This window comes from Homo sapiens, chromosome 13 (genome assembly GCF_000001405.40).
Source record: "Homo sapiens chromosome 13, GRCh38.p14 Primary Assembly".
Taxonomy (NCBI): Eukaryota; Metazoa; Chordata; class Mammalia; order Primates; family Hominidae; genus Homo; species Homo sapiens.
In genome coordinates, this window is record NC_000013.11 from 100,027,208 (window position 1) to 100,053,600 (window position 26,393).

At 42.1% G+C, this 26,393-nt stretch overlaps 1 pseudogene; it reads right to left on the reverse strand.

Moving 5' to 3' along the window:
* NDUFA12P1 (NADH:ubiquinone oxidoreductase subunit A12 pseudogene 1) lies at nt 562-967 on the reverse strand (annotated as a pseudogene).

Here is a 26,393-nt window from a genome sequence, read left to right on the forward strand (position 1 = left end):
TTGTTCAAGGGTCAACTGTATTTGTAAATAATTTATACTTAAAAGATTTCAAAGTATTATAGAAATACAATAAACTGTTCAGCTCTTGAAATGCATTTCATAGGAAGGCTTATACATTAATGCTTAATGGCTAACTTATTTTTTATTAAAAAATTTTTTAGTCAAATGATTTTAATCAACTTATAATAACCAGTAAAAGTGTAATTACGGATGGGCGTGGTGGCTCATGCCTGTAATCCCAACACTTTGGGAATCCGAGCTGGGTGTATCACCTGAGGTCAGGAACTCTAGCACAGCCTGACCAACATGGTGAAACCCCAGCTCTACTGAAAATACAAAAATTAGCCAGGCGTGGTGGTGCACACCTGTAATCCTAGCTACTCGGGAGGCTGAGGCAGGAGAATCAGTTGAACCCAGGAGACAGAGGTTGCAGTGAGCTGAGGTCCTGCCACTGCACTCCAGCCTGGGCAACAGAGTGAGACTCCATCTCAAAAAAAAAGAAAGTGTAATTACGTGAAAAGGCCCATATTTTTACATGTTTAAATTGTTAATGTTTTTATTTGTAAAGTGCTGAAGGTGAGACTCACTTCTGTATCTTCTTTCTAGTAGTAGAATAAGGTAATACTGTTCTGGATTTTGAATTTAGGGTTTGTCTAAATGAATTTAAGAGGAGTGGGTCATTTTGTTTTTGGAGAATCAGCAGTCATACAGTGAAACCACCTGTGCCATTTGGGAGGTACCGTGCTCTCATTCACATCCCAGATTGTGTTTTGCCATTAATTTCAGCAGCATCTATAAATCATTGGTGATGGCCAAAAAATTGATTGTTGTCTTCATGGTATTTGTTTCCATATTTTTCTTTCCCCACCAGTGCACCAACCCTCATATAATTTGCCCTGAAGAAAATCCACAGATAGACATGGAGGCCACCATAGCCACTAACCTGCTGCAGCCCATACTTAAGGACTCCATCTTTACCTGGTGCTCATCAGCTTATTTACCTTTTTTTTTTTTTTTTTTTTGAGATGGAATCTCACTCTGTCACCCAGGCTGGAGTGCAGTGGTGTGATCTCGGCTCACTGCAAGCTCCACCTCCTGGGTTCTCGCCATTCTCCTGCCTCAGCCTCCCGAGTAGCTGGGACTACAGGGGCCCGCCACCACGCCTGGCTAATTTTTTGTATTTTTAGTAGAGACAGGGTTTCACCGTGTTAGCCAGGATGGTCTCGATCTCCTGACCTCATGATCCGCCCACCTTGGCCTCCCATAGTGCTGGGATTACAGGCCTGAGCCACCGCGTCCAGCTTCTTTTTTTTTTTTTTTTTTTTTTTTTAAAGAGACAAAGTCTTACTACATTGCTCAGGCTGGAGTTCAGTGGCTATTCACAAGCGCGATCAGCTCTTGAGCCCCAGCGATTCTCCTGCCTCAGTCTCCTGAGTAGTAATTTACCTTTATAGTATGAGTAAGTAGGACAAGGCAAGATGAAATTGATCAGACAAAAGATGAAAGGATGATCACTAATTGAAATAGAGAATTCAGAAGGAGCTGTGGATTTTGGAGGAGAAGATGCATTCAACTTTGAGTGTATTAAAATTCGTATTGTAATTCCTTTGGAATATCCTAATGGAGATATCAGGAAGGCAACTGGAAGTATAGTTCTGTTAAGGGGGCAGATCACAGCTAGAGAAAGAGACTTGAAAGTCACCTGTATGACCATTGACATCATAAAAGTGGATGGGATGCTTCCCATCTTGTTGTGTTCTGGATCATGATCCTCTTTTTTTTTTTTTTTTTTTGAGACAGAGTTTCTCTCTTGCTGCCCAGGCTGGAGTGCAATGGCGCGATCTTGGCTTACCGCAACCTCCGCCTCCCAGGTTCAGGCGATTCTGCTGCTTCATCCTCTTGAGTATCTGGGATTACAGGCATGTGCCACCATGCCCGGCTAATTTTGTATTTTTAGTAGAGACAGGGTTTCTCCATGTTGGCCAGGCTGGTCTCGAACTCCCAACCTAAGGTGATCTTTCCACCTCGGCCTCCCAAAGTGCTGGGATTACAGGCGTGAGCCACCGCGCCCGGCCCATGCTCCTCTTTTCTGGACTTAATGCCTGGTAGCCAACACTCAGTAGAATCTAAGTAGTAAAAATAGGCCCAATGCAAAGTCTAAGGTAGGTTAACTCCCAAGAACAATAACAAGAACTTTTTTTTTGCTTTCTTTGATATATAACTTTATCACCAAATAGCTTTAAAAGAATTTTTTAAGTCCCCACAACTATAGAAACATTCTTTGGAAAACGTAAAAGCAACATAGTATAAAGTATAAACACAATATTTTCCCACTACCAATAATTTGTAAATTGTAAGAAAACTTAAAATATTTTTGTAATTAATTTTAGCAAAATTCTGTTTTCAACTTCCTCATTTTTATTTGCTTACATTTCTTTCTTAATTAGTTGTAACTCAGTTAAATGTTATTGCCTTATTATTATCCAGAAATGGTTCCTAATTCATATTAATTAGGAGAAACAATGTTTTTTCTATAGATCTAGGGATGGATTTCTCAAAAACACAATTTAAAGGAACACAAGTGGGGTTTAAAAAAACAACTGGCCAGGTGCAGTGGCTCATGCATATAATCCCAGTGCTTTGGGAAGCTGAGGCAGGAGGATCCCTTGAGGCCAGGAGTTTGAGACCAGCCTGGGCAACATAGTGAGGCCCTGTCTATACAAAATTTTTTTAAAAAAATTAGCTGGGCTTGGTGGCATGCACCTGTGGTCCTAGCTACTCAAGAGGCGGAGGTAGGAGGATCACTAGAGCCCAGGAGTTTGAGGTTGCAGTGAGCTATCATCAAGCCACTGTACTCCAGACTTGACAGAGTGAGACCTTGTCTCTAAAAAACAGAACAAAACCATACTCTAATAGTAGTATTTTATGATGACCCAGCAAATTTATGGATTATTTTTATAACTTTAATTTAATGAATTTAAGTAAAGCAGTAATTGCATGTTAAAAATTGTGTTAGCTTACTTGGAATATTTTTTGCCATCTTCTGAATATTTCTTACATGGTAATTTTCCTCCTTTTGAAGTATTTTTGCAGAAATAAAAAAGGAAAACAGGCCCAGTGCAGTGACTCATGCCTGTAATCCCAGCACTTTGGAAGGCCAAGGCAGGTGGATCACTTGAGGTCAGGAGTTTGAGACCAGCCTGACCAACATGGTAAAACCCCATCTCTACAAAAATACAAAAATTAGCCGGGCGTAGTGACGGGCGCCTGTAATCCCAGCTACTCAGGAGGCTGAAGCAGGAGAATTGCTTGAACCCAGGAGGCAGAGGTTGCAGTGAGCTGAGATCGCATCACGGAACTCCAGCCTGGGCAACAGAGCAGGACTGTCTCAAAAAAAAAAAAAGAAAGAAAGAAAGAAAGAAAAAAAGAAAGGAAAACAAATCAGCCACTACACTTCACCTCAAAGTTATTGCTTGAGATTAGGGAGCAGACTTATTGAATTATTGATCTACTAAAAAAGGCTACACTAAAATCTTTTGAATGTGCTAAACCTGTATGAGGAAAACTTTAAAATTTAAGTTAAAAATAATAAAAACTTACAGCAGTAGTATCACAAGTAATATGAAGAGGCTAATGATTAAGTGGCAAAATATTTGCAACTCATATTATAAATAGTTAAGGTTCCTAAAATATAGAGAACCTTTATAAATAAGTCAAGAAGGCCAGGCGCGGTGGCTCACACCTGTAATCCCAACATTTTGGGAGGCAGAGGCAGGTGGATCACCTGAAGCCAGGAGTTCAGGAACAGCCTAGCCAACATGGTGAAACCCCGTCTCTACTAAAAATACAAAAATTAATCGGCGTGGTGGTAGGCACCTGTAATCCCAGCTACTCAGGAGGTTGAGGCAGGAGAATCACTTGAACCTGGGAGGCGGAGGTTGCAGTGAGCTGAGATCACACCAGTACACTCCAGCCTGGGCGACAGAGTGAGACTCCGTCTCAAAACAAATAAAAAGAAAAAGAAATAAATCAAGAAGAAACAGAGTTAACAACTCAGTAGAAAAATGTAGAAAGTATTTTAACAGTTTCAGAAAAAGAAATCTTAAGTACGTGAAATGATGTTCAACCTCACTCATGAATTAAAACCCTTTTGAGATGAATCATTTATCACCTATCTTATGTGCAAAAATTCTAGAGTTTAATAACACACTTTGTTGGAGAGGTGAGAAAAGGGAAAATAGGTATATTGCTGGTTTAAGAACAAAAAGGTACAAACTTTATTAAGGAAATTTGGTTATATATATAGAAACTTTACAGTTACATTTACCTTTTGTCTTAGTTTCCTACTGCCTAACAAATTGACACAGACTTAGTGGCTTAAAATAACACAAATCTATTATTTTACAGTTCTGGAGATCAGAAGTCTAAAATGGGTCTTCACAGATGTGTTCCTTCTGGAGACTGTAGGGAAGCATCTATTTTCTTGTCATTTCCAGTTTCTGGAGGCTGCCTGCGTTCCTTGGTTCATGGACCCTTCGTTCATTTTCAAAGGCAGTACTGTGGCATCTTCTCTCCTTTCTGACCTGCCTCCCTTTCTTTTTTTTTTAAGGTTTTTTTTTTTTTAAATCAATGTTGACCAGGTTGGCCTTGAACATGTAGCCTCGCCTTCCCGAGTGCCAGGGCAACCGGCCTGAGCCACGGTGGCTCCCCTGCCTCCCTTTCATAAGCACCCTTGTGATTACACTCATATTCAGGGTGGAAGTAAGGAGGTCTTTAAATCAATCACTTCTTCAGAATTCCTTTTGAATACAAGGTAACATATTCACACTTTGTTGGGATTAGTACATGGACATCTTTTTGGGGAGCATTATTCTGTCTACCACATCCTTTGACTTAGCATATCCACTTCTAGGAATCTATCATGCAGATATATCTGCATATACGAGGATATCTTAGTGGCATTGCTTATAGTAAAAGATTGGAAACAATTCAAGGTGTCCAGCAATAGGGGACTAGTTAAATAAGCAGCGGTATATCCACAAAATACAGTGCTAAGCAGCTGTAAAAGAGAATGAGGACGATCTCAGGGTACTAATACATAGAGAGATCTCTGGGATGTACTGAAAGTGAACAAAGCATGGAGGTGACCAGTTTATATATTAAGCTATCTTTTGTATAAGAGGAAAATACCATTTGCTTGTGTTATATAAAGAAATACTGAGTTGGCCGGGTGCGTTGGCTCACGCCTGCAATCTCAGCACTTTGGGAGGCCGAGGCAGTCAGATCACCTGAGGTCAGGAGTTCGAGACCAGCCTGGCCAACATAGTGAAACCTCGTCTCTACTAAAAATACAAAAATTAGCTGGGTGCAGTAGCATGCGCCTATAATCCCAGCTACTCAGGAGGCTGAGGCAGGAGAATCGCTTGAACCCAGCGGAAGAGGTTGCAGTGAGCTGAGATTCTGCCACTACACTCCAGCCTGGGCGACAAAAGCAAAACTCCGTCTCAAAAAAAAAAAAGAAAAGAAATACTGAATTTACAAAAAAATGAATAAAAATGCTTCTCCCTACAACTCGAGAGGCAGCTAAGGCTTGTTGGTGAATATCTTTTTATGTTATGCTATTTATTTATTTATTTATTTATTTATTTATTTATTTTGAGATGGAGTCTCACTCTGTCCCCCAGGCTGGAGTGCAGTGGTGTGATCTCGGCTCACTGCAACCTCCACGTCCCGGGTTCAAGGGATTCTCGTGCCTCAGCCTCCCAAGTAGCTGGGATTACGGGCGTGCACCACCACACCTGGCCAATTTTTTTGTATTTTTAGTAGAGACAGGGTTTCACCACGTTGGCCAGGCTGGTCTCGAACTCCCAACCTCAAGTGATCTGCCCACCTCGCCCTCCCAAAGTGCTGGGATAATGGGCGTGAGCCACCATACCCTGCCTATATTATTTAATTTTTTAATCATGAAAATATATTACACAGTAAAAATAAGACCTCATAGATAAATGCAAATTCTTGTTTAAAAAAAAAAGACTTCATGAAGCAGACAATTTTTTTTTTTCTGTTTTTCAGACAGCTTTTTATAATTTGAAGGGAGCTCTGAGCCACTGACCTCCCACCAAAGTGCCTGGATTTTCTAATTTGTGTCCTTGACTTGAATTCAGGTGCTGTGTTCAGTGGGTCCCAGTTAAAATACAAATGTGTAACATGCTAACCTAGATCTTCATTCATAATTTGATGTGCTTTAGAATCTTAAGTTTAGATAATCAGTTTCATGGAATACTCAGGAAAGTTCTGATGGAAGGCAAGAGGTTGGGAAATATTACAATAATGGGCCACCATATGTTGTAGGGGTGGGCCTTTGACACCAAGAGGCTGTACAAAGGCACTTGAGTGCTGGGAGCTTGGTAGTAGGGGGAGGAGTCCCAAATGTAACCCTCATCTAAGAGAAATTTAAACTTTTTTTTTTTTTTTTTTTTTTTTTGAGACGGAGTCTCACTCTGTCGCCCAGGCTAGAGTGCAGTGGCATGATCTCGGCTCACTGCAACCTCTGCCTCCTGGGTTCAAGCGATACTCCTGCCTCAGCCTCCTGAGTAGCTGGGACTACAGGCGGGTGCCACCACACCTGGCTAATTTTTGTATTTTTAGTAGAGACGGGGTTTCACCATGTTGGTCAGGCTGGTCTTGAACTCCTAACCTCGTGATACACCCATCTTGGCCTCCCAAAGTGCTGGGATTACAGGCGTGAGCCACCGCGCTCGGCTGAGAAGTTTAAACTTTTAACTATAATTGCTATGTAAACTGTAATCTTATCTCTAACTTAGTTTTTAGTTTAGCCCTGCCTGGAAAACCATGCTTTCTGTCCCATGAAACATAGATTTCATTTCACCTTCTTAGGTTATACGTTTCAACAGAACTACTTAGATTTGAGTCCTAGTCCTGATGTTCACTAGCCAGGTAAAATTGCAAAAGTTACTAAAACTCTCTGTGCTTCAATTTTCTCATTTATGACATGGGTCCAAAAATACCAGGGTAGGTGTGAGTTAACTACCAAATTAAAATAAAATACAAGACCGGGCACGGTGGCTCACGCCTGTAATCCTAGCACTTTGGGAGGTTGAGGTGGGCAGGTCACGAGGTCAGGAGATCGAGACCATCCTGGCCAACATGGTGAAACTAAAAATACAAAAATTAGCTGGATGTGGTGTGCCACTGCATTCCAGCCTGGCGACAGAGAGAGACTCCGTCTCAAAAGAAAGAAAGAACAAGAATTGACTCAGGATGAATTTTGAGAGCTCATGGCCCAGTCTAGTGGGCTATGGTTAGGCTGATGCAACACCCATACCGGACAGACATAAAAAGTTGTTGGCCAGGTGCGATGGCTCGCGCCTGTAATCCCAGCACTTTGGGAGGCTGAGGAGGGCAGATCACCTGAGGTCAGGAGTTCGAGACCAGCCTGGCCAACATGGTGAAATTCTATCTCTACTAAAAAGGCAAAAATTAGCTGGTTGTGGTGGTGAACACCTGTAATCCCAGATACTCGGGAGGCTGAGGCAGGAGAATGGCTTGAACCCAGGAGGCAGAGGTTGCAGTCAGCCAAGATTGCACCACTGCACTCCAGCCTGGGCAACAGAGCAAGACTCCATCTCAAAAAGAAAAAAAAGGTGTTAAGATTTTTTTCAAGAATTGATATTTGGCCGACCACAGTGGCTCACGCCTGTAATCCCAACACGTTGGGAGGCCAAGGTGGGCAGATCACCTGAGGTCGGGAATTCAAGACCAGCCTGAGCAACATGGAGAAACGCCATCTCTACTAAAAAGGAAGTATTAGCTGGGCATGGTGGCACGTGCCTGTAATCCCAGCTACTCGGGAGGCTGAGGGAGGAGAATAGCTTGAACCCAGGAGGTGGAGGTTGCAGTGAGCCGAGATCATGCCATTGTACTTCAGCCTGGGCAACAAAAGCGAATCTCCATCTCAAAAAAAAAAAGAAAAAAGAATGATATTTATTTAGATCCAATTCTAAGCTATGCAGTTGTTATGCTGTATTTTTCAGAGCTTTCTTTTCTTAGTTTTGATAAAGGAATTAAATTTTTTTCCTTCATGGGCAAGAATTGTGTATGATATATATTTTGAATTGCTCACAGTACTTTACATTCAATACACAATTATTATTGGCAATGATATAAATGCTAGTGATCCTTTCCATTAGATTATATATTAAATAATTTTCTTTTTTATTATTCCCTAATTTTTTTATTTTGTAACTTTTCAAACATACTAACAGCTTTAAAAAGTAGTAAAATGAACACCTCCAACTAAATTAAACAACTGTTAACATTTTGCCACATTTGCTTTGTACTTCTCTTTCTCTCTCTCTGTATATATATAGACCTTAGCACTATATATATATATATATATATATATGCACACATACACACACACACACACACACAATTCATGTATGTAACAAGTTTTTGAGACAGGCTGTCACTCTGTTGCCGAGCCTGAAGTGCAGTGGCATGATCATAGCTCACTGTAGCCTCAAACTCCTGGGCTCAAGTGATCCTCCTGCCTCAGCCTCCTGAGTAGCTGGAACTACAGGTATATGCCACCACACCTACCTAGTTTAGTTTTATTTTTTGTAGAGACAGGGTCTCACTATGTTGCCCAGGCTGATCTTGAACTCCTGGTTCTCAAGCACCTTGAGTCTTTCCACCTTGGCCTCTCAAAGTGTTGGGATTACAGGCATGAGCCACTGCTCCTGGCCTATATAGCAATTTATAGATACACACACATAGAGTAACTATGTGTTTGTATGTTTGTATACATGTATATATACAGCATATATATATATGCATAGTCATGCATCATTTGACAGGGATGTGTTCTGAGGAATGTGTCATTAGGCAATTTCATTGTGCAAACATGGTAGAGTATACCTATAGAAACTGAGATGGTATGGCCTGATATACACCTAGTCTACAAACCTATACAGCATGTTACTGTACTGAATACCTTAGGCAATTGTAACACAATAGTATTTGTGTATCTAAACATAGTTAAACATAGAAAAGGAGATGCGTTGCACTATGATGTTATGATGGCTAGAACATCACTAGGCAACATAAAATTTTCAGTTCCATTATAATCTTATGCGACCACTATCATATATGTGGTCCATAATTGACTGAAACATCATTATGTAGAGACTAATTAGTGTGTGTGTGTGTTTGTGTACGTGTGTGTGTGATTGTGTGTGCATAAAAAAGCTTTTTGGGCTGGGCATGGTGGCTCATTCCTGTAATTTTAGCATTTTGGGAGGTCGAGGCAGGTGAATATAGTGTGTGTGTGTGTGTGTGTGTGTGTGTGTGTGTGTGTGTGTGTGCATAAAAAAGCTTTTTGGGGCTGGGCATGGTGGCTCATTCCTGTAATTTTAGCATTTTGGGAGGCCAAGGCAGGTGGATCTCCTGAGCTCAGGAGTTCGAGACCAGCCTGGGCAACATGGTGAGACCCTGTTGCCCAGGTTGGAGTTTAGTGGCACGCTCTCAGCTCACTGCAACCTCTGTCTCCCAGGTTCAAGCAATTTCCTGCCTCAGCATCCTGAGTAGCTGGAACTACAGGCATGCGCCTCACGCCCAGCTAATTTTTTGTATTTTTAGTAAAGACAGGGTTTCGCCATGTTGGCCAGGCTGTTCTTGAACTCCCGACCTTGTGATCTGCTGGCCTCGGCCTTCCAGAGTGCTGAGATTACAGGTGTGAGCCACTGAGCCCAGCCAAAAAAGGTTTTTGATACCATAGCAACACCCAAACTTTCAGTATGTACCTGCTAAAAATACATTCTCCAATATAACTATATCACCATTATGACAATTTTTTTTTTTTTGAGATGGAGTTTCGATCTTGTTGCCCAGGGTGGAATGCAATGGCGATCTCAGCTCACCACAACCTCTGCCTCCCGGGTTAAAGCAATTCTCCTGCTTCAGGCTCCCGAGTAGCTGGGATTACAGGCATGCACCACCACACCCAGCTAATTTTTTTTGTGTGTTTTTAGTGGAGACGGAGTTTCTCCATGTTGGTCAGGCTGGTCTTGAATTCCTGACCTCAGGTGATCCGCCCGTCTCGGCCTCCCAAAGGGCTGGGATTAGAGGCATGAGCCACTGGACCCAGCCCACAACTTCTAATATACAGATAATATTCAAATTTCTCCAGTTGTTTCTTTTTTTTTTTTTTTTTGAGATGGAGTCTCGAGGCTGGGCACCGTGGCTCACGCCTATAATCCCAGCACTTTGAGAGGCTGAGACGGCCGGATCGTGAGGTCGGGAGTTCAAGACCAGCCTGGACAACATGGTGAAACCCCATCTCTACTAAAGATATAAAAAATTAGCCAGGCATGGTAGCACATACCTGTAATCCCAGCTACTTGGGAGGCTGAGGCAGGAGAATTGCCTGAACCTGGGAGGCACAGGTTGCAGTGAGCCAAGATTGCACCATTGCACTCCATCCTGGGCGACAGGGCGAGACTCCGTTTCAAAAAAAAAAAAAGAGATAAAATCTCCTTCTGTCACCCAGGCTGGAGTGCAGTGGTGCAATCTCGGCTCATTGCAACCTCTGCCTCGCAGGTTCAAGCAATTCTCCTGCCTCAGCCTCCCGAGGAGCTGGGATTACAGGCATCTGCCACCACACCTGGCTAATTTGTGTATTTTTGGTAGAGATGGGTTTCACCATGTTGGCCGGGCTGGTCTCGAACTCCTGACCTCACGTGATCTGCCCGCCTGGGCCTCCCGAAGTGCTGGGATGACAGGCGTGAGCCACTGTGCCCGGCCCAGTTGTTTCAACAAGTATCTTTTATAGCTTTTTAAAAAAAGATTGAAAGATCACTTGAGCCCAGGAGTTCAAGATGAGCCTGGGCAACATGGTGAGACCTCATCTCTAAAATAAAATTAAAATAAATAAATAAATTAAATAATAAGATATAATAAAAGTTTCCACATTGTTACATCTCTTTAATAATTTTTGATCTAGAATAGTCTCTCACCTTTTATTTTCTATTATATTAACTCTTTTTTTTTTTTTTTTTTAGACGGAGTCTTGCTCTGTCACCCAGGCTGGAGTGCAGTGGTGTGATCTTGGCTCACCACAACCTCCGCCTGCTGGGTATAAGCGATTCTCCTGCCTCAGCCTCCTGAGTAGCTGGGATTACAGATGCATGCCACCACGCCCAGCTAATTTTTGTATTTTTAGTAGAGACAGTGTTTCACCATGTTGGCCAGACTGGTCTTGAACTCTTGACCTCGTGATCTGCCCGCCTCGGCCTCCCAAAGTGCTGGGATTATAGGCATGAGCCACTGCACCCGGCCCTACATTAACTCTTTTTTGAAGAGTTCAGGCTGCTTTTCTTATAGTATGTCCTACATTCTGTGTTTGTCTGTTTCATTATGATGTTATTTAACTTGCTGTATCCCTTCTCTTCTATAAATTCATTGTGAGTCTAGAGACTTGATTAAACACAGGTTAAATATATAAAGTCATTTTTTCCCATTATTAGTGATGCTATGTTTGATCACTTAAGTGGTCACTTGCAGTAAGGTAGTAATTGCAAATTCTATCAGAAAGGTACATTTTCCCTTTGTACTTACAGGTAAGCTATGGAGTGATACTTTGGCATTGCACAAATATTCCTTCACCCAATGATTAAACATGCGTTTATTTATTTATTTAATAGAGAAGGGGGTCTTGCTATGTTGCCCAGGCTGGCCTTGAACTCTGGGCTCAAGTAATCCTCCTGCCTTAACCTCCCGAGTAGCTGGGACTAGAGGTGCATGCTGCTGCACCTGGCTCCTAAACATGCATTTAACTGTCTTATTTGGCTTGTCCTGGTGTGGAGTTGATTCATATTTATAGGCTTAAAATCAGAAGACACCTCCATCTAGATTAGTGCTTCTCAACTGGGGGAGGTTTTGCCCCTCAGTGATAGTGTTTCTCAACTGGGGGTAGTTTTACCCCTCAGTGAACATTTGGCAATGTCTGGAGATATTTTTGGTTGTCACAACTTGGAGGTAGGGGTGCTACTGGTATCTAGTGGGTAGAGGCCCGGGATGCTGCTACACATCCTCCAGTACACAGGGCAGCCCCCTACAGCAAATAATTATCCTGCCCAGAATGTCAGTAGTTCCACTAGTGAGAAACCTTAATCTAGACATTGGATTAAGCTTCTTTCTCACACGCAGTTCATTGGCCTTTTTGGAGATGCTAGTAAAGTTTTAGAAATTATCTTCAGAAGTAGAAACCAAGCAGATGTTAGAGTCCATCAAAATCTTCCCATAATTCAAACCAGGCAGATTTTTACTACCCACCTGTTCTGTTTTTCCATTTCCTTTATATATGTCCTCTCGATGTAAGGATTTAAATTGCTTTTCTCTACTGTCAATAAACAAATACATCACGAAAGGATTAAAAAACAGAATTAACACATCTAAGCATTTTGGTCCGATTTTGTGTTTCCTAGAAGATTTTGGAATGTCATCTTAATAGCCCCAGAGCCAGAGAAGAGAAAATGGGGAAAAATAAATATCAAGTTAAGAATTTACCATTACAAAAATGGCCCAGAGAGAGTGACCAGAGTTCAGGAAGGGGCAGGAGAGTGCAGAGGGCATTTCCACTCTCACACCTGTAAGTTATTAATGACCTTTGAAGTGATTGTTGATGGAAGCACTTGTACATTTGAGCTGCTTCATATGTATACGTAGTGTATTCAGAGAACTGCCTAGCTTCTGGAGCCCTGAAATATCTTCGAGCTGAATCAGAGATCAAACAGTAAAATCCATGACTTGGGAATATCGTATAGCCATGTGACATGTGGAAGGACCGAGAGTGTGAGAACCAATGCCTAAATAACTACACTGTATATCTTTAACTCCAAGAGACTTAGCATTGCTTTGATAACTTTTAAAATAGCAGTCTCAGAAAATAATGTCCTAGAGTTTCAAGAAAATATAGTAAGATATAACACTTTATACATTTATTTTGCGTGTAAATGCCTAAGCTTAGAAGATTAGAACCTAATTACCTTATTTTCATTCAAATTGTCACTAGATAGCTTGTACAACATTTGCTCCTTTTATGTTTTGAATTCCCACGACAAGGACATTGCCTTTCCTGTTGAGAGCTGAGTCAACAATTTTGTTTGCATTTAACAAAGACGGAATCACTTCAAGTCTAATTTTCTCTGTATACTAGGGAGTTAGCACATGAATGCATTCATCAACTACAGTTTCATTTTTAGAGGAAGCAGCAAAATACCCAGGTTTGTGACTTCAATTTTTATTTTTCTCTATTAATATTTTAAGAGTTATTTTTCATACTTTTTCACTAACATATCTTTCTAACTTGAAACAGCTGTTGACATGACATGGTATGAAGAGACCACTCCCTTCAGTGGGAAATTATAGAACATGATTTATTTCCAAAGTATAATTTTTTTTTTTTTTTAACATGGAATCTCGCTCTATCGCCCAGGCTGGAGTGCAGTGGCACAATCTCGGCTCACTGCAACCTCTGCCTCCCGGGTTCAAGTGATTCTTGTGCCTGAGCCTTCTAAGTAGCTGGGATTACAGGCACCCACCACCACACCCGGCCCAAAGTATAATTTTAGGAATTATAACTCAATAATTTAACTCTATTTATCATCATTTACATTATTTCCTGTATTGGCTCAATTTCTATAAAATATAAAAAATTGAAAAAAGAGATGTGGCATAGTATATATCATTTAAAAATATTATTCTCTATAAATGGGATGAGAGAATTAGGAAAGGAGAATCAGAAGACAGAATAATTATTCTAATATCTAGAGTCCTTTGTATTGTCACTGTCAGCAACTTTTCTCTATCTTTGAAATTCTCATTCGTTATGAAAGAGACTCATTTAGAGCAACACCAAAAGCTAACAAAGATAGTAAAAGAAATGTATAGGGTCATCTCACTCATAAATCCTAAGTAAAATCTAAGCAAATTGAATCTAGTGATTAATAAGAATGATAAATACATCATTACCAAATTGGACTCAACCCACGAATGTAAGGTAAAGTGTAATGTTCAAAAATCAATTCTATTGTCATTATTAATAATATATGCCATTTACTAGATTAAGAGGATAAAGTATTGAAAACCATATGATCATCTTAATAAGTAAAAAAAAAAAAAGCCCAATCTAAATAAGCTAGGAATATGAAGAAACTTCCATAACCTAGAGAAGGCTCATTCTCCTCAAGAGACAAGTGCAAGAATGTTAATACTATCATTGTTTAATAAGGACAGAAACACAGAAGCAACACAAATGTTCATCAATAGTAAGCTAGATAAATAAATTACAGTATAATCAGACCGGGCGTGGTGGCTCATGCCTGTAATCCCAGCACTTTGGGAGGCCGAGGCAGGCGGATCACCTGAGGTTGGGAATTCGAGACCAGCCTCACCAACATGGAGAAACCCCGTCTCTACTAAAAATATAAAACTAGCTGGGTGTGGTGGCACATGACTGTAATCCCAGCTACTTGGGAGACTGAGGCAGAAGAATCGCTTGAACCCAGGAGGCGGAGGTTGCCATGAGCTGAGATCATGCCATCGCACTCCAGCCTGGCCACAAGAGTGAAACTCCGTCTCAAAAAAATAAATAATATAAATAAATAAATAAATAACAGTATAGTCATACATTGATCTGTTTTTTAGCAATGAAAATAAATGTGCCTTAGCTGTTCTCATTAGTAAGAATGATCTAAAAAATGTAATATTGAATGGAAAAAGTAAGTCACAGAAGAGTAAACAATATTCTGTTTGTATCAAATGTAAAACAGGCACATTTAAATTATACATTGTTAAGCTCAACATATATATGTCATAAATCCCTGAAGAAAATGATTGAACAATTATTATAAAATTCAGGATCGTAATTACCTCGGGTGGAATGATGACTGGGAAAAAGCATGATGTGGGGGAAGGGTGTCAAAGTATTGATAATGTTCTCTCTCTAAGCTACATCCTCGGTACACAGGTGTTTGTTATTTTCTAAGCTGTGTGTTCATAATATACACTTTTTTATTTGTGTATAATTTTTTTCATATTGAAATGGTTAAATAGAAGACATTATTATTGTATGACTCTTGGTCCCTTTACCTTTATCAGGGATACATATGAATCATATTCTTGAATAAGAGAGAGAGAGCAGACTTTTTTTTAAATAAAAACATTTTTATTTGGAAATGATTTCAAACTTACAGAAAAGTTGTAAGAATGATATCAGAAATACCTATTTACCTTTTTTTGTTTTTTGTTTTTTGAGATGGAGTCTCGCTCTGTGGCCCAGGCTGGAGTACAGTGGCATGATCTTGGCTCACTGCAAGCTCCACCTCCTGGGTTCACACCATTCTCCTGCCTCAGCCTCCCGAGTAGCTGGGACTACAGGCACTGGCCACCACACCCTGCTAATTTTTTGTATTTTTAGTAGAGGTGGGGTTTCACCGTGTTAGCCAGGATGGTCTCAATTTCCTGACCTCGTGATCCGCTCGCCTTGGCCTCCCAAAGTGCTGGGATTACAGGCGTGAGCCACCACACCCAGCCTTACCTATTTACCTTTTATCCAGATTTACTTACTGTTAACATTTTATTTCATTTGCTTATTGTTAGGGATTTATTCTTTCTCTGTCAACATATATATATTTTTTTCTAAACTATTGAAGAATAAACTACATACATCACGCCCCTTTGCCTCCAGATACTTCCTTGTATATTTCCTAAGAAAAAGGACATTCTGTTAGAAAGTCACAGTACAGTTATCAATGTCAGGAAATTTCCCATTGAAACGATACTTTTAAAAATAATCTACCATCCACATTCCAATTTGTCAACTGCCTAAATAATGTTCTTTATAGCATTTGTTTTGTCCTCCACTAGAGGTTGCAGTATCCATATCACATTTAGTTGTTATGTTTCTTTTTTCTTTTCTTTTTTTTTTTTTTTTTGAGACAGAGTTTCGCTCTTGTTGCTCAGGCTGGAGTGCAATGGCGCGATCTCAGCTCATGGCAACCTCCGCCTCCTGGGTTCAAGCTATTCTCCTGCCTCAGCCTCCCAAGTAGCTGGGATTACAGGCATGTGCCACCATGCCCGGCTAATTTTGTATTTTTAGTAGAGGTGGGGTTTCTCCATGTTGGTCAGGCTGGTCTCCAACTCCTGACCTCAGGTGATCCGCCCACCTCGGCCTCCCAAATTGGTGGGATTATAGGCCTGAGCCACTGTGCCTGGCCTAGTTGTTGTTTCTTTAGTCTCTTGTCTGGAACAGTTCCTGAGCTTTTCTTTGTCCTTTATGACAATGATATCTGATTCTTTTTTAACAAGAATGATTCTCATTTTTAGTTTTCTCATGATAATATTCAGGTTATGTGTTCTTAATTAAAATGCTACATAAATGATATATTCTCAGAGTATCACATTTTTAGGTGCACCAATATGTCTGTTTCTCATCATTGATATTCATTTTGATAATCTGACTAAGGTGTTGTGCAGTGTCTTCACTCTTAAGAGAGAGGAATTTTTTACAAGGCTTTCTTTGGCAAGAGCTGCTGATGGGCTTTGAAGCCTACTCTCCTCTAATGTAGAGAAGTAGACACTTTATTTCCCACTCATCTGAAGTTAAAAGAGAAAGGCTTCAATAAGACCAACTGGAAAGCTTAATATGTGTTCTCTTAATTTATTTATCAGGTCACAGTTCACTAATGTCTGATTCCTCCTGGGGACATTTTTTTTTTTTTTTTTTTTTTTTTTTTTGAGGCAGAGTCTCGCTCTGTCGCCTAGGCTGGAGTGCAGTGGCGCGATCTCGGCTCACTGCAACCTCCGCCTCCCGGGTTTATGCCATTCTCCTGCCTCAGCCTCTCCGAGTAGCTGGGACTACAGGCGCCCGCCACCACGCCCGGCTAATTTTTTTTTGTATTTTTAGTAGAGACAGGGTTTCACCGTGTTAGCCAGGATGGTCTCGATCTCCTGACCTCGTGATCCGCCCACCTCAGCCTCCCAAAGTGCTGGGATTACAAGCGTGAGCCACCGCGCCCGGCCAGGAAATCTTTTTTTTTTTTTTTTTTTTTTTTAGACGGAGTCTCACTCTGTTGCCCAGGCTGGAGTGCAGTGTTGTGATCTCGGCTCACTGCAAGCTCCGCCTCCCGGGTTCATGCCGTTCTCCTGCCTCAGCCTCCGAGTAGCTGGGACTACAGGTGCCCGCCACCATGCCTGGCTAATTTTTTGTATTTTTTTAGTAGAGGCGGGGTTTCACCATGTTAGCCAGGATGGAGGAAATCTTGACATTAAGAGAAAGGCTGTAATCCCAGCACTTTGGGAGGCCAAGGTGGGTGGATCATGAGGTCAGGAGTTCGAGACCAGCCTGGCCAACATGGTGAAACCTCGTCTCTACTAAAAATACAAAAGTTAGCCAGGTGTGGTAGCGGCTGCTTGTAATCCCAGCTACTCGGGAGGCTGAGGCAGGATAATGACTTGAACCCAGGAGGCAGAGGTTGCAGTGAGCTAAGGTCACTCCAGCCTGGGCGACAGGGCAAAACTCTGCCTTAAAAAAAAGAGAGAGAAGGGCTGCCTTGCAGCTTGGAGGTGGAACAGAGGAGAGTTACTAGTAGATTGGAATTAGCCTGTTATTCCAGAGTTTGTTAGGCAACGAGTGCTTAAGTGTTTCCCATGAACCAGATGTCATGGGAATTCTTACTTAATTAAAAGTCCCATAGTTGGTTTGAATCACAAACATAGTCTCAATTTCATTTTAAATAAAAATGTCACCTAGGCTGGAGTGCAACATCTGTCCCATGAAAAGACAGCCTGTTTCGGGCCATTTCATAATCTGACTCAAAGGCCACTGAAAGGGTGAACAGGCCTAGCAGGGGAGAAGCTGGCAGAAACTCACTGAATTCCTAGTGGTTAGGAATGAATAAGGTCCTTGAAATAGAGTGCATTTTTTTCTGTTCAAGGGAACTGCAGGTGAGAGTCTGACGATGATTTGTGGGAGACATCTCCTAAGAACCTATAAAGCAGTGGTCTCCAACCTTTTTGGAGACGATTTTTCCATGGATGGGGTGGGTGAGGGGTGGGGGGATGATTTCAGGATGAAACTGTTCCACCGCAGATCGTCAGGCATTAGATTCTCATAGGTAGCACACAACCTAGATCACTCACATGTGTAGGTCACAATAGTGTTTGCACTCCTATGAGAATCTAATGCTGCTGCTGATCTGACAGAAGGTGAAGCTCAGGAGGTAATGCTCTCCTGCCTTCTGCTCACCTCCTGCTGTGTGGCCTGGTTCCTAACGGGCCACTGACAGAGAGCAGTCTGCCACCCAGGGGTTGGGGACCTCTGCTATAAAGGACTCCAAAAGAGAAAGAGTCAGCTTTCAATTTCTGCAAGCCCAGAAAGCATGAAACCATCTCATGACCTTATGGGTAGAATAAGAACATTGCTGTCCTCCTCTGTGTGGAGAAGGCCAGGTCAGAAAGAGAGGTTAGTAAAATCACAGTAGGCAGGGTAGCAGCTTGAGGGGAGAAAGGACCGTGTTCCCTTCTGGCACTAACGGGCTTACCCCACTGCAGACCCCATCCGTGGGAGAGGACAAGATCTACCTTCAATTAACTTTGCAGCGCATTATTTTATGGGATCAAACATTTTTATTTAAAATGAAATTGAGACTACGTTTGTGAATCAAACTAACTACGAGACTTTTAATCACGTAAGAATGATCTGAAAAGTCATGCCACTCCTTGAGTATTCATTGAGGGGCAGAGTAAAAACATATCTGGATAAATTGTATTTATTTACTTGTTTGAAGAATTTATTCATAGTGCATTACATGACCCAAAATAAAAATGATATGAAAAGTATGCATTATGAGAAATCTCCTCACATCTGTATCCATCCACCCAATTGTACTTCTCCTCTTACAGGTAAACCTTACATGTTTAATGTTTGTTGTTCTAATATTTCTTTAGGCAAATACAAGGAAATATGAATATATAGTTTTTTTGTTTTTTTTTTTTTAGACAGAGTTTCACTCTTGTTGCCCAGGCTGGAGTGCAGTGGTGTGATCTTGGCATACTGCAACCTCTGCCTTCTGGGTTCAAATGATTCTCCTGCCTCAGCCTCACAAAAAGCTGGGATTACAGGCATGTGCCACTACGCTTGGCTAATTTTGTATTTTTAGTAGAGACAGGGTTTCACCATGTTAGCCAGGCTGGTCTTGAACTCCTGACCTCAGGTGATCTACCCGCCTTGGCCTCCCAAAGTACTGGGATTACAGGCGTGAGCCACCAGGCCCGGCCTGTAGTCTTATGTATCTGTTTCTAACACAAGAGGTAGAATACTGTTTAGAACTTTGCTTTTTTTTTTTTGGCCGGGTGCAGTGGCTCACACCTGTAATCCCAGCACTTTGGGAGGTGGAGGTGGGTGGATCACCTGAGGTGAAGAGTTTGAGACCAGTCTGGCCAGCATGGTGAAACCCTGTCTCTACTAAAAGATACGAAAATTAGCCATGCATGGTGTTGCATGCCTGTAATCCCAGCTACTCGGGAGGCTGAGGCAGGAGAATCACTTGAACCTGAGAGACGGAGGTCACAGTAAGCAGAGATCGTGCCCACTGCACTCCAGCCTGGGTGACAGAGTGAGATTCTGTCTCAAAAAAAAGAAAAAGAAATTTGCTTTTTTAAATTGTGGCAAAATATATATAACATTAAATTTACCATTTTGTCCTAGATGTGGAATTTCTAGATGATACGGTAATTATATTCTATTTACCTTTTTGAGGCACTTCTAAGCTGTTTTCTTACAGTGGCTGCACCATTTTACACTCCTACCAACAATGCATGAGGGTTCCAATTTCTTCATATTCTTGCCAAAACTTTTTTTTTTTTTTTTTGAGATAGGATTTTGCTCTGTCACTTAGGCTGGAGTGCAATGGCTTGATCTTGGCTCACTGCAACCTCTGCCCCCTGGGCTCAAATGACCCTCCTGCGTGTCTCCTAAGTGGCTGGGACTATAGGTGTGACCCACTGTGCCCAGCTAATTTTTGTATTTTTTGTAGAGACAGGGTTTTGCCATGTTGCCAAGGCTGGTCTCAAACTCCTAGACTCAAGCAGTCCTCCCACCTTGGCCTCCCAGAGTGCTGGTATTACAGACATGAGCCACCATGTGCAGCCTGGCATTTTTTTTCCGTTCACCCCGCCATGTAATTTGATTACCACAAATATACTGTGTATCCGTTTTTTTGGTTTTGTTTTTTGTTTTGAGACAGAGTTTTGCTGTTGCTGTCCAGGCTGGAGTGCAATGGTGTGATCTTGGCTCACCACAACCTCCGCCTCCCGGGTTTAAGCGATTCTCCTGCTTCAGCCTCCTGAGTAGCTGGGATTACAGGCATGTGCCACCACAGCCAGCTAATTTTGTATTTTTTATCAGAGATGGGGTTTCTCCATGTTGGTCAGGCTGGTCTCGAACTCCCAACCTCAGGTGATCCTCCTGCCTCAGTCTCCCAAAGTGCTGGGATTACAGGCATGAGCCACCCTGCCCGGCCTACTGTGTACCTGTTTATGTATTATATTTTTATTTGGGTTTATACATAAAAAGAGTAAACGCTTTTTATACATAAAATAACTTAGGCCAGGTGCAGTGACTCATGCCTATAATCCCAACACTTTGGGAGGCTGAAGCGGGTGGATCACCTGAGGTCAGGAGTTTGAGACTAGCCTGGCCAACATGGTAAAACCCCGTCTCTACTAAAAATACAAAAAATTAACTGGGCCTAGTGTTGCACGCCTGTAATCCCAGCTACTCCACAGGCTGAGGCAGGAGAATCGCTTAAACCCGGGAAGCAGAGGTTGCAGTGAACCAAGATCGTGCCACTGTGTTCCTGTCTGGGCGACACAGCAGAACTCAGCCTCAAAAAAAAAAAAAAAAAAAAAAAACCTTTATACACTTTTTGCTCCCCAAGAATCAATTATTGCCCCTGTTGAGAATGCATACTCTAAAGATTGCAAGTGTAAATTATTAGCAACAAAGTATTTGCTATAGTTGCTGACAAGTGAGTACATGGGACTGGGAAAAGGGACCTAAGGAGATCTAAGTGGGGCACCAACAGTTTGGCCACACAATCAATTTAAGTATGATGTGTAGTTCTTTTTTTTTTTTTTTTTTTTTTTTTGAGACAGAGTCTCACTCTGTTGCCCAGGCTGGAGTACAGTGGCATGATCTTGGCTCACTGCAACCTCTACCTCCTGGGTTATAGCTGTTCTCCTGCCTCAGCCTCCTGAGTAGAGTAGCTGGGATTGTAGGCACACACCACCACGCCTGACTAATTTTTGTATTTTTTTAGTAGAGACGGGGTTTCGCCATGTTGACCAGGCTGGTCTCAAACTCCTGACCGCAGTTGATCCGCCCACCTCGGCCTCCCAAGGTGCCGGGATTACAGGCATGAGCCACCATGCCCGGCCTGTTGGGTAGTCTTTACAATTGTTCTGTGGGAGGTTAGTCCAATCCAAGCTATTTGATCATGGTCAGAAACAGAAGACCCCCGTTTCTCTTTATTTCTAATAGTAGAATGAAAGATACTTGTGTTAGGTCATTCTTGCATTGCTATGAAGAAATACCTGGGACTGGGTAATTTATAAAGAAAAGGGGTTTAATTGGCTCATGGTCTGCAGGCTGTACAGGAAGCATGGTTCCAGCCTTTGCTTGGCTTCTGGGGAGGTCTCAGGAAACTTTCACTCATGGAGGAAGGTGAAGTGGGAGCAGACATGTCACATGACCAGAGCAGAAGCAAGGGGAGGCAGGGAGGTGCCGCACACTTTTAAATGACCAGATCACAATAACTCACTCACTATCACAAAGACAGCACCAAGCCACGAGGAATCCTCTCCCATTATCCAAACACCTCCCACCAGGCCCCACCTCCAGCATTGGGGATTACAATTCAACATGAGATTCGGGTGGGGATGAATATCCAAACTACTTCAGTATCTCGTAAGTATTAATAAGCAGTTGAGGGAGATATAATATTTCCTTTGACCCTGAACTCTTATAATATCTAAAATTATCATGGATAATAAACTTCTTTTAATCTCTTAAGGGAACCTGAGTTACAAGGGAAAATATCTATTTATTTGCTTATTCTAAGGGGAACACCAGTTGAAATATTAGAAGAGTAAAGTGTGGGCCTGAGGGATGAGTGGAAAGTGTCTTAACATCACTGCCTTTCTAAAGCTTTATCACTGAGACCTGTAATTATAATGGTTACTGGTTCTAATTCCAGCCAGGCAGGGTGGCTCACACCTGTAATCCCAGCACTTTGGGAGGTGGGCAGATCACCTGAGGTCAGGAATTCGAGACCAGCCTGGCCAACGTGGCGAAACCCCATCTCTACTAAAAAGACAAAAATTAGCTGGGCATGGTGGCATGTGCCTCTAATCCCAGCTACTTGGGAGGCTAAGGCAGGAGATTCACTTGAACCTGGGAAGTGGAGGTTGCAGTGAGCCAGGATCGCACCATTGCACTCCAGCCTGGGCAAGAACAGTGAAACTCCATCTCAAAAAAAAAAGTTATAATTTCACTCTTTACCAGATGTGTGATGCAGACAAGGTAGTGAATTTGAGGTAGAGTCAAGGAAGGTCACACAATGGATTTTGTTTTTATATTAAATAGAGGACTGCATCGCGTTAGAAAGTGGTTCAGATTGGTGTGTCTTATCCAGCTTTTATATTGTATTGGTGACAGAGTATGTATATCGTTAACGAAAAAAACGCAAACTCTGTAAAATATTCAAAGAGGATTATTCTGAGCCAATACAAATGACCATGGCCTGGGGAATGGTCTCCAGAAGTCCTGTTGATAGAGGCAGGAGGCAGCCAAAGGCCTGGGCAGATAAGGAAGGGACCCAGAGAATCTCTGACATGCCCCACAAGTGTTTTTTTGTTTGTTTTGTTTTGTTTTTTTGAGACAGGGTCTCTATCACCCAGGCTGGAGTGCAGTGCATGATGTCGGCTCACTGCAACCTCCGCCTACCAGGTTCAAGCAATCCTCCTGCCACAGCCTCCGCAGTAGCTGAGACAACAGGCACATGCACCGCAACCGGCTAATTTTTGTATTTTTTGATAGAGATGAGTTTTCACCATGTTGCCCAGGGTGTGGTCTCAAACTCCTGGCCTCAAGTGATCCGCCCACCTCAGCCTCCCAAAATGCTGGGATTACAGGTGTGAACCACTGTGCCTGCCGCCCCCCCACCCCCCAGCAAGTGTTTACACCATATGTTTCCTGTAAATAAGGGAACCTGCACAGGGCGCTTGTTTGGGCATGCCCGCAGCCTACTGGAGGCCCACATGCACTGGGGGAATGGGGTGGAGCCACCAGGAATTCACACCTTATGCAGGGGAGGAGCCTGGCCTCTTCAGCTCCTGTGTGGTAGTCATGGTATTCAATTTGTGAGGTGGAAACCTGCTTGCAAGACCCCCTCTCTTTGCTGAGAGTTTTCCTTTCGTTTAATAAATTCCACCCTCCTCACCCTTCCATGTGTCTGTGTACCTAATTCTCCCTGATCATAAAACAAGATCCTGGATTAGCTGAGCTAAGGAGCAAAAAATCCTGCACCACTGAGAAAGTGCACCCAAAGTGGTTGGGTTACAATTTAGTTTTATACATTTTAGGGAGAAAGAAGTTACAGGCAAAGACATAAATCAATATATGTAAGGGTATACATTAATTTGGCCCATAATGGCAGGACATCTCAAAGTGGGGGGTTGGGGATGATGGGGGTTGGGAGAAAGGGTTCAGGGGATCTTAGAAGTCACAGGTGGATTCAAAGATTATCTAACTGGCAGTTGGTAGAAAGAATTAAGCTTTGTCTAAAGGCTTGAAGTCAGTAGAAAGAAATGCTTGAGTTAAGATAAAGCGGCTTGTGGAAGCCAATGTTTTTATTTAGATGAAGCCTCCAGGCTCTTCCTTTGGCGAGAATAAATGGTAAATGTTTCTTTTCACACCTTAAAAGGTGTCAGACTCTAATCTCTCCTAGATCTGGGAAAGCCCTGGCTGCATTAACGGAGATTCTCTACAGATGCAAATTTCCCCCATGAAAGATGACTTTGCAGGGCCATTTCAAAATATGTCAAATAAATCTATTTTGAGGTAAAATATTTTTATTTTCTTCAGGATCTGCTATCTGTCATGTGATGCTATACCAGAGTCAGGTTGAAATTTGGTATCTTATTGCCACAAAGAGTCTGTTCTGTCTCATGATCTCTGTTTCAATGTTAATGCTGGTCAGTTGTACCTCACCTCCAAAAGGGAGAGGGGATAACGAGGTGTTTTGGACCCCCCTTCCCATCATGGCCAGAAATTCAGTTTTTCAGCTTTCTCTGGGGTCCCATTGGCCCATAGGAGCTCCATTCAGTAGGTTGGGGAAGGTTAGGATTTTCTTTTTGGTTTATAGTTTCTTTTACAACAGGGCAAAGCAGAGTGTGTTTATCAGAGATTTGAAGTGATTTCAAATCAGAGATTTGAAGCTGAGATTGCTCCTTGATGCCTTGAAAAACAAAATTACATATGTTGTATGATATGTGTATGTATGTATTATTTAGTCAAGCTAAGAATTTAGTCAAATATAGTAAGTCAAACTGCCATATTGTTACTTACATACAAGAGTAGGCCTTGTGGACTTACTATTGCTTGGGGCATTTCAATGTTTATTAGCCTCTCTGTGTGTATATATGGGTATATATCAATCCGTTTTACTACCTGTCAGATACTTTGGTGAAATACTGATCCATTCAAAAGAGGTAGGGCCGGGCGCAGTGGCTCACGCCTGTAATCCTAGCACTTTGGGAGGCCGAGGCGGGTGGATCACGAGGTCAGGAGATCGAGACCATCCTGACCAACATGGAGAAACCCCGTCTCTATTAAAAATACAAAAAAAATTAGCCAGGCATGGTGGCGCATGCCTGTAATCCCAGCTACTCAGGAGGCTGAGGCAGGATAATTGCTTGAACCTGGGAGGCGGAGGTTGCAGTGAGTCGAGATCGCGCCATGGCACTCCAGCCTGGGCAACAAGAGCAAAACTCCATCTCAACAAAACAAAACAAAACAAAACAAACACACACACAAAAGGCTGAGGTAGACCAGGCACAGTGGCTCATGCCCATAATCCTAGCAATTTAGGAGGCTGAGGCAGGTGGATCGCTGGAGCCCAGGAGTTTGAGACCAGCCTGGGCAACAAAGTGAGACTTCATCTCTACTAATACACAAAAATTAGCCGGGTTTGGTGGCACGCGCCTGTAGTTCCAGCTACTAGGGAGGCTGAGGCAGGAGGATTGTTAGAACCCAGGAGGTGGAGGTTGCAGTGAGCCGAAATTATGCTACTGCACTCCAGCCTGGGCGACACAGTGAGACCCTGTCTCAAAAAAAAAAAAAAAAGAGAGAGAATTAGGTACTGACTGAGTTTGCTTTCTGGGTTTTGGGTATTTGTTTCCTTGTTTCTATTAACAGAGTTGAGCATAGTATTATTAGTAGAGCTGTCTTCCTAAAATATCCGCTTACATTTGGTGTAGGAATAGCTATCATAGGATATGCAACCGTTCTTACTGTTTATTTACTTTTACTTTTTATTTTGCAAATCAAAACATCTTTAAAGTACAGGTTTTATACAAAAAAGGACTTAAATCATAAGTATACAGTTTGATGAATTTTTACAAAGTAAAGATACTTATATAACCAATACCTAGACCATAAAGAGTATTTCCCATGCAGCAGAAACCCCTTGACTCCTCTCAGTTGTTATTTCCCAAGGGTAACCATTATTCTGATTTCTTTTTTTTTTTTTGAAAAGGAATTTCACCCTTGTTGCCCAGGCTGGAGTGCGATGGCACGATTTCGGCTCACTGCAACCTCCACCTCCTGGGTTCAAGCGATCCTCCTGCTTCAGCCTCCCAAGTAGCTGGGATTACAGGCACCTGCCACCACGTGCAGCTAATTTTTGTATCTTTAGTCAAGATAGGGTTTAACCATGTTGGCCAGGATGGTCTCGAACTGCTGACCCCAGGTGATCCACTCACCTTGGCCTCCCAAAGTGCTGGGATTACAGGCATGAGCCACCACACCCAGCCACCATTATTCTGATTTCTAACATCATGGATTTGTTTTGCCTGTTTTAAACTTTATATAAATGGAATCATACTGTATGCTTGCTTTTTTGGTCCAGCTTCTTTTGTTTGGCTTAATATTTGTGAGATTCATTCCCTGTTGTGTATAGTTCATTCGTATTCCATGAAAAACTTCAAACATACACAAAAGCATACAGAACAGAATAGTGAACTTTCATTTC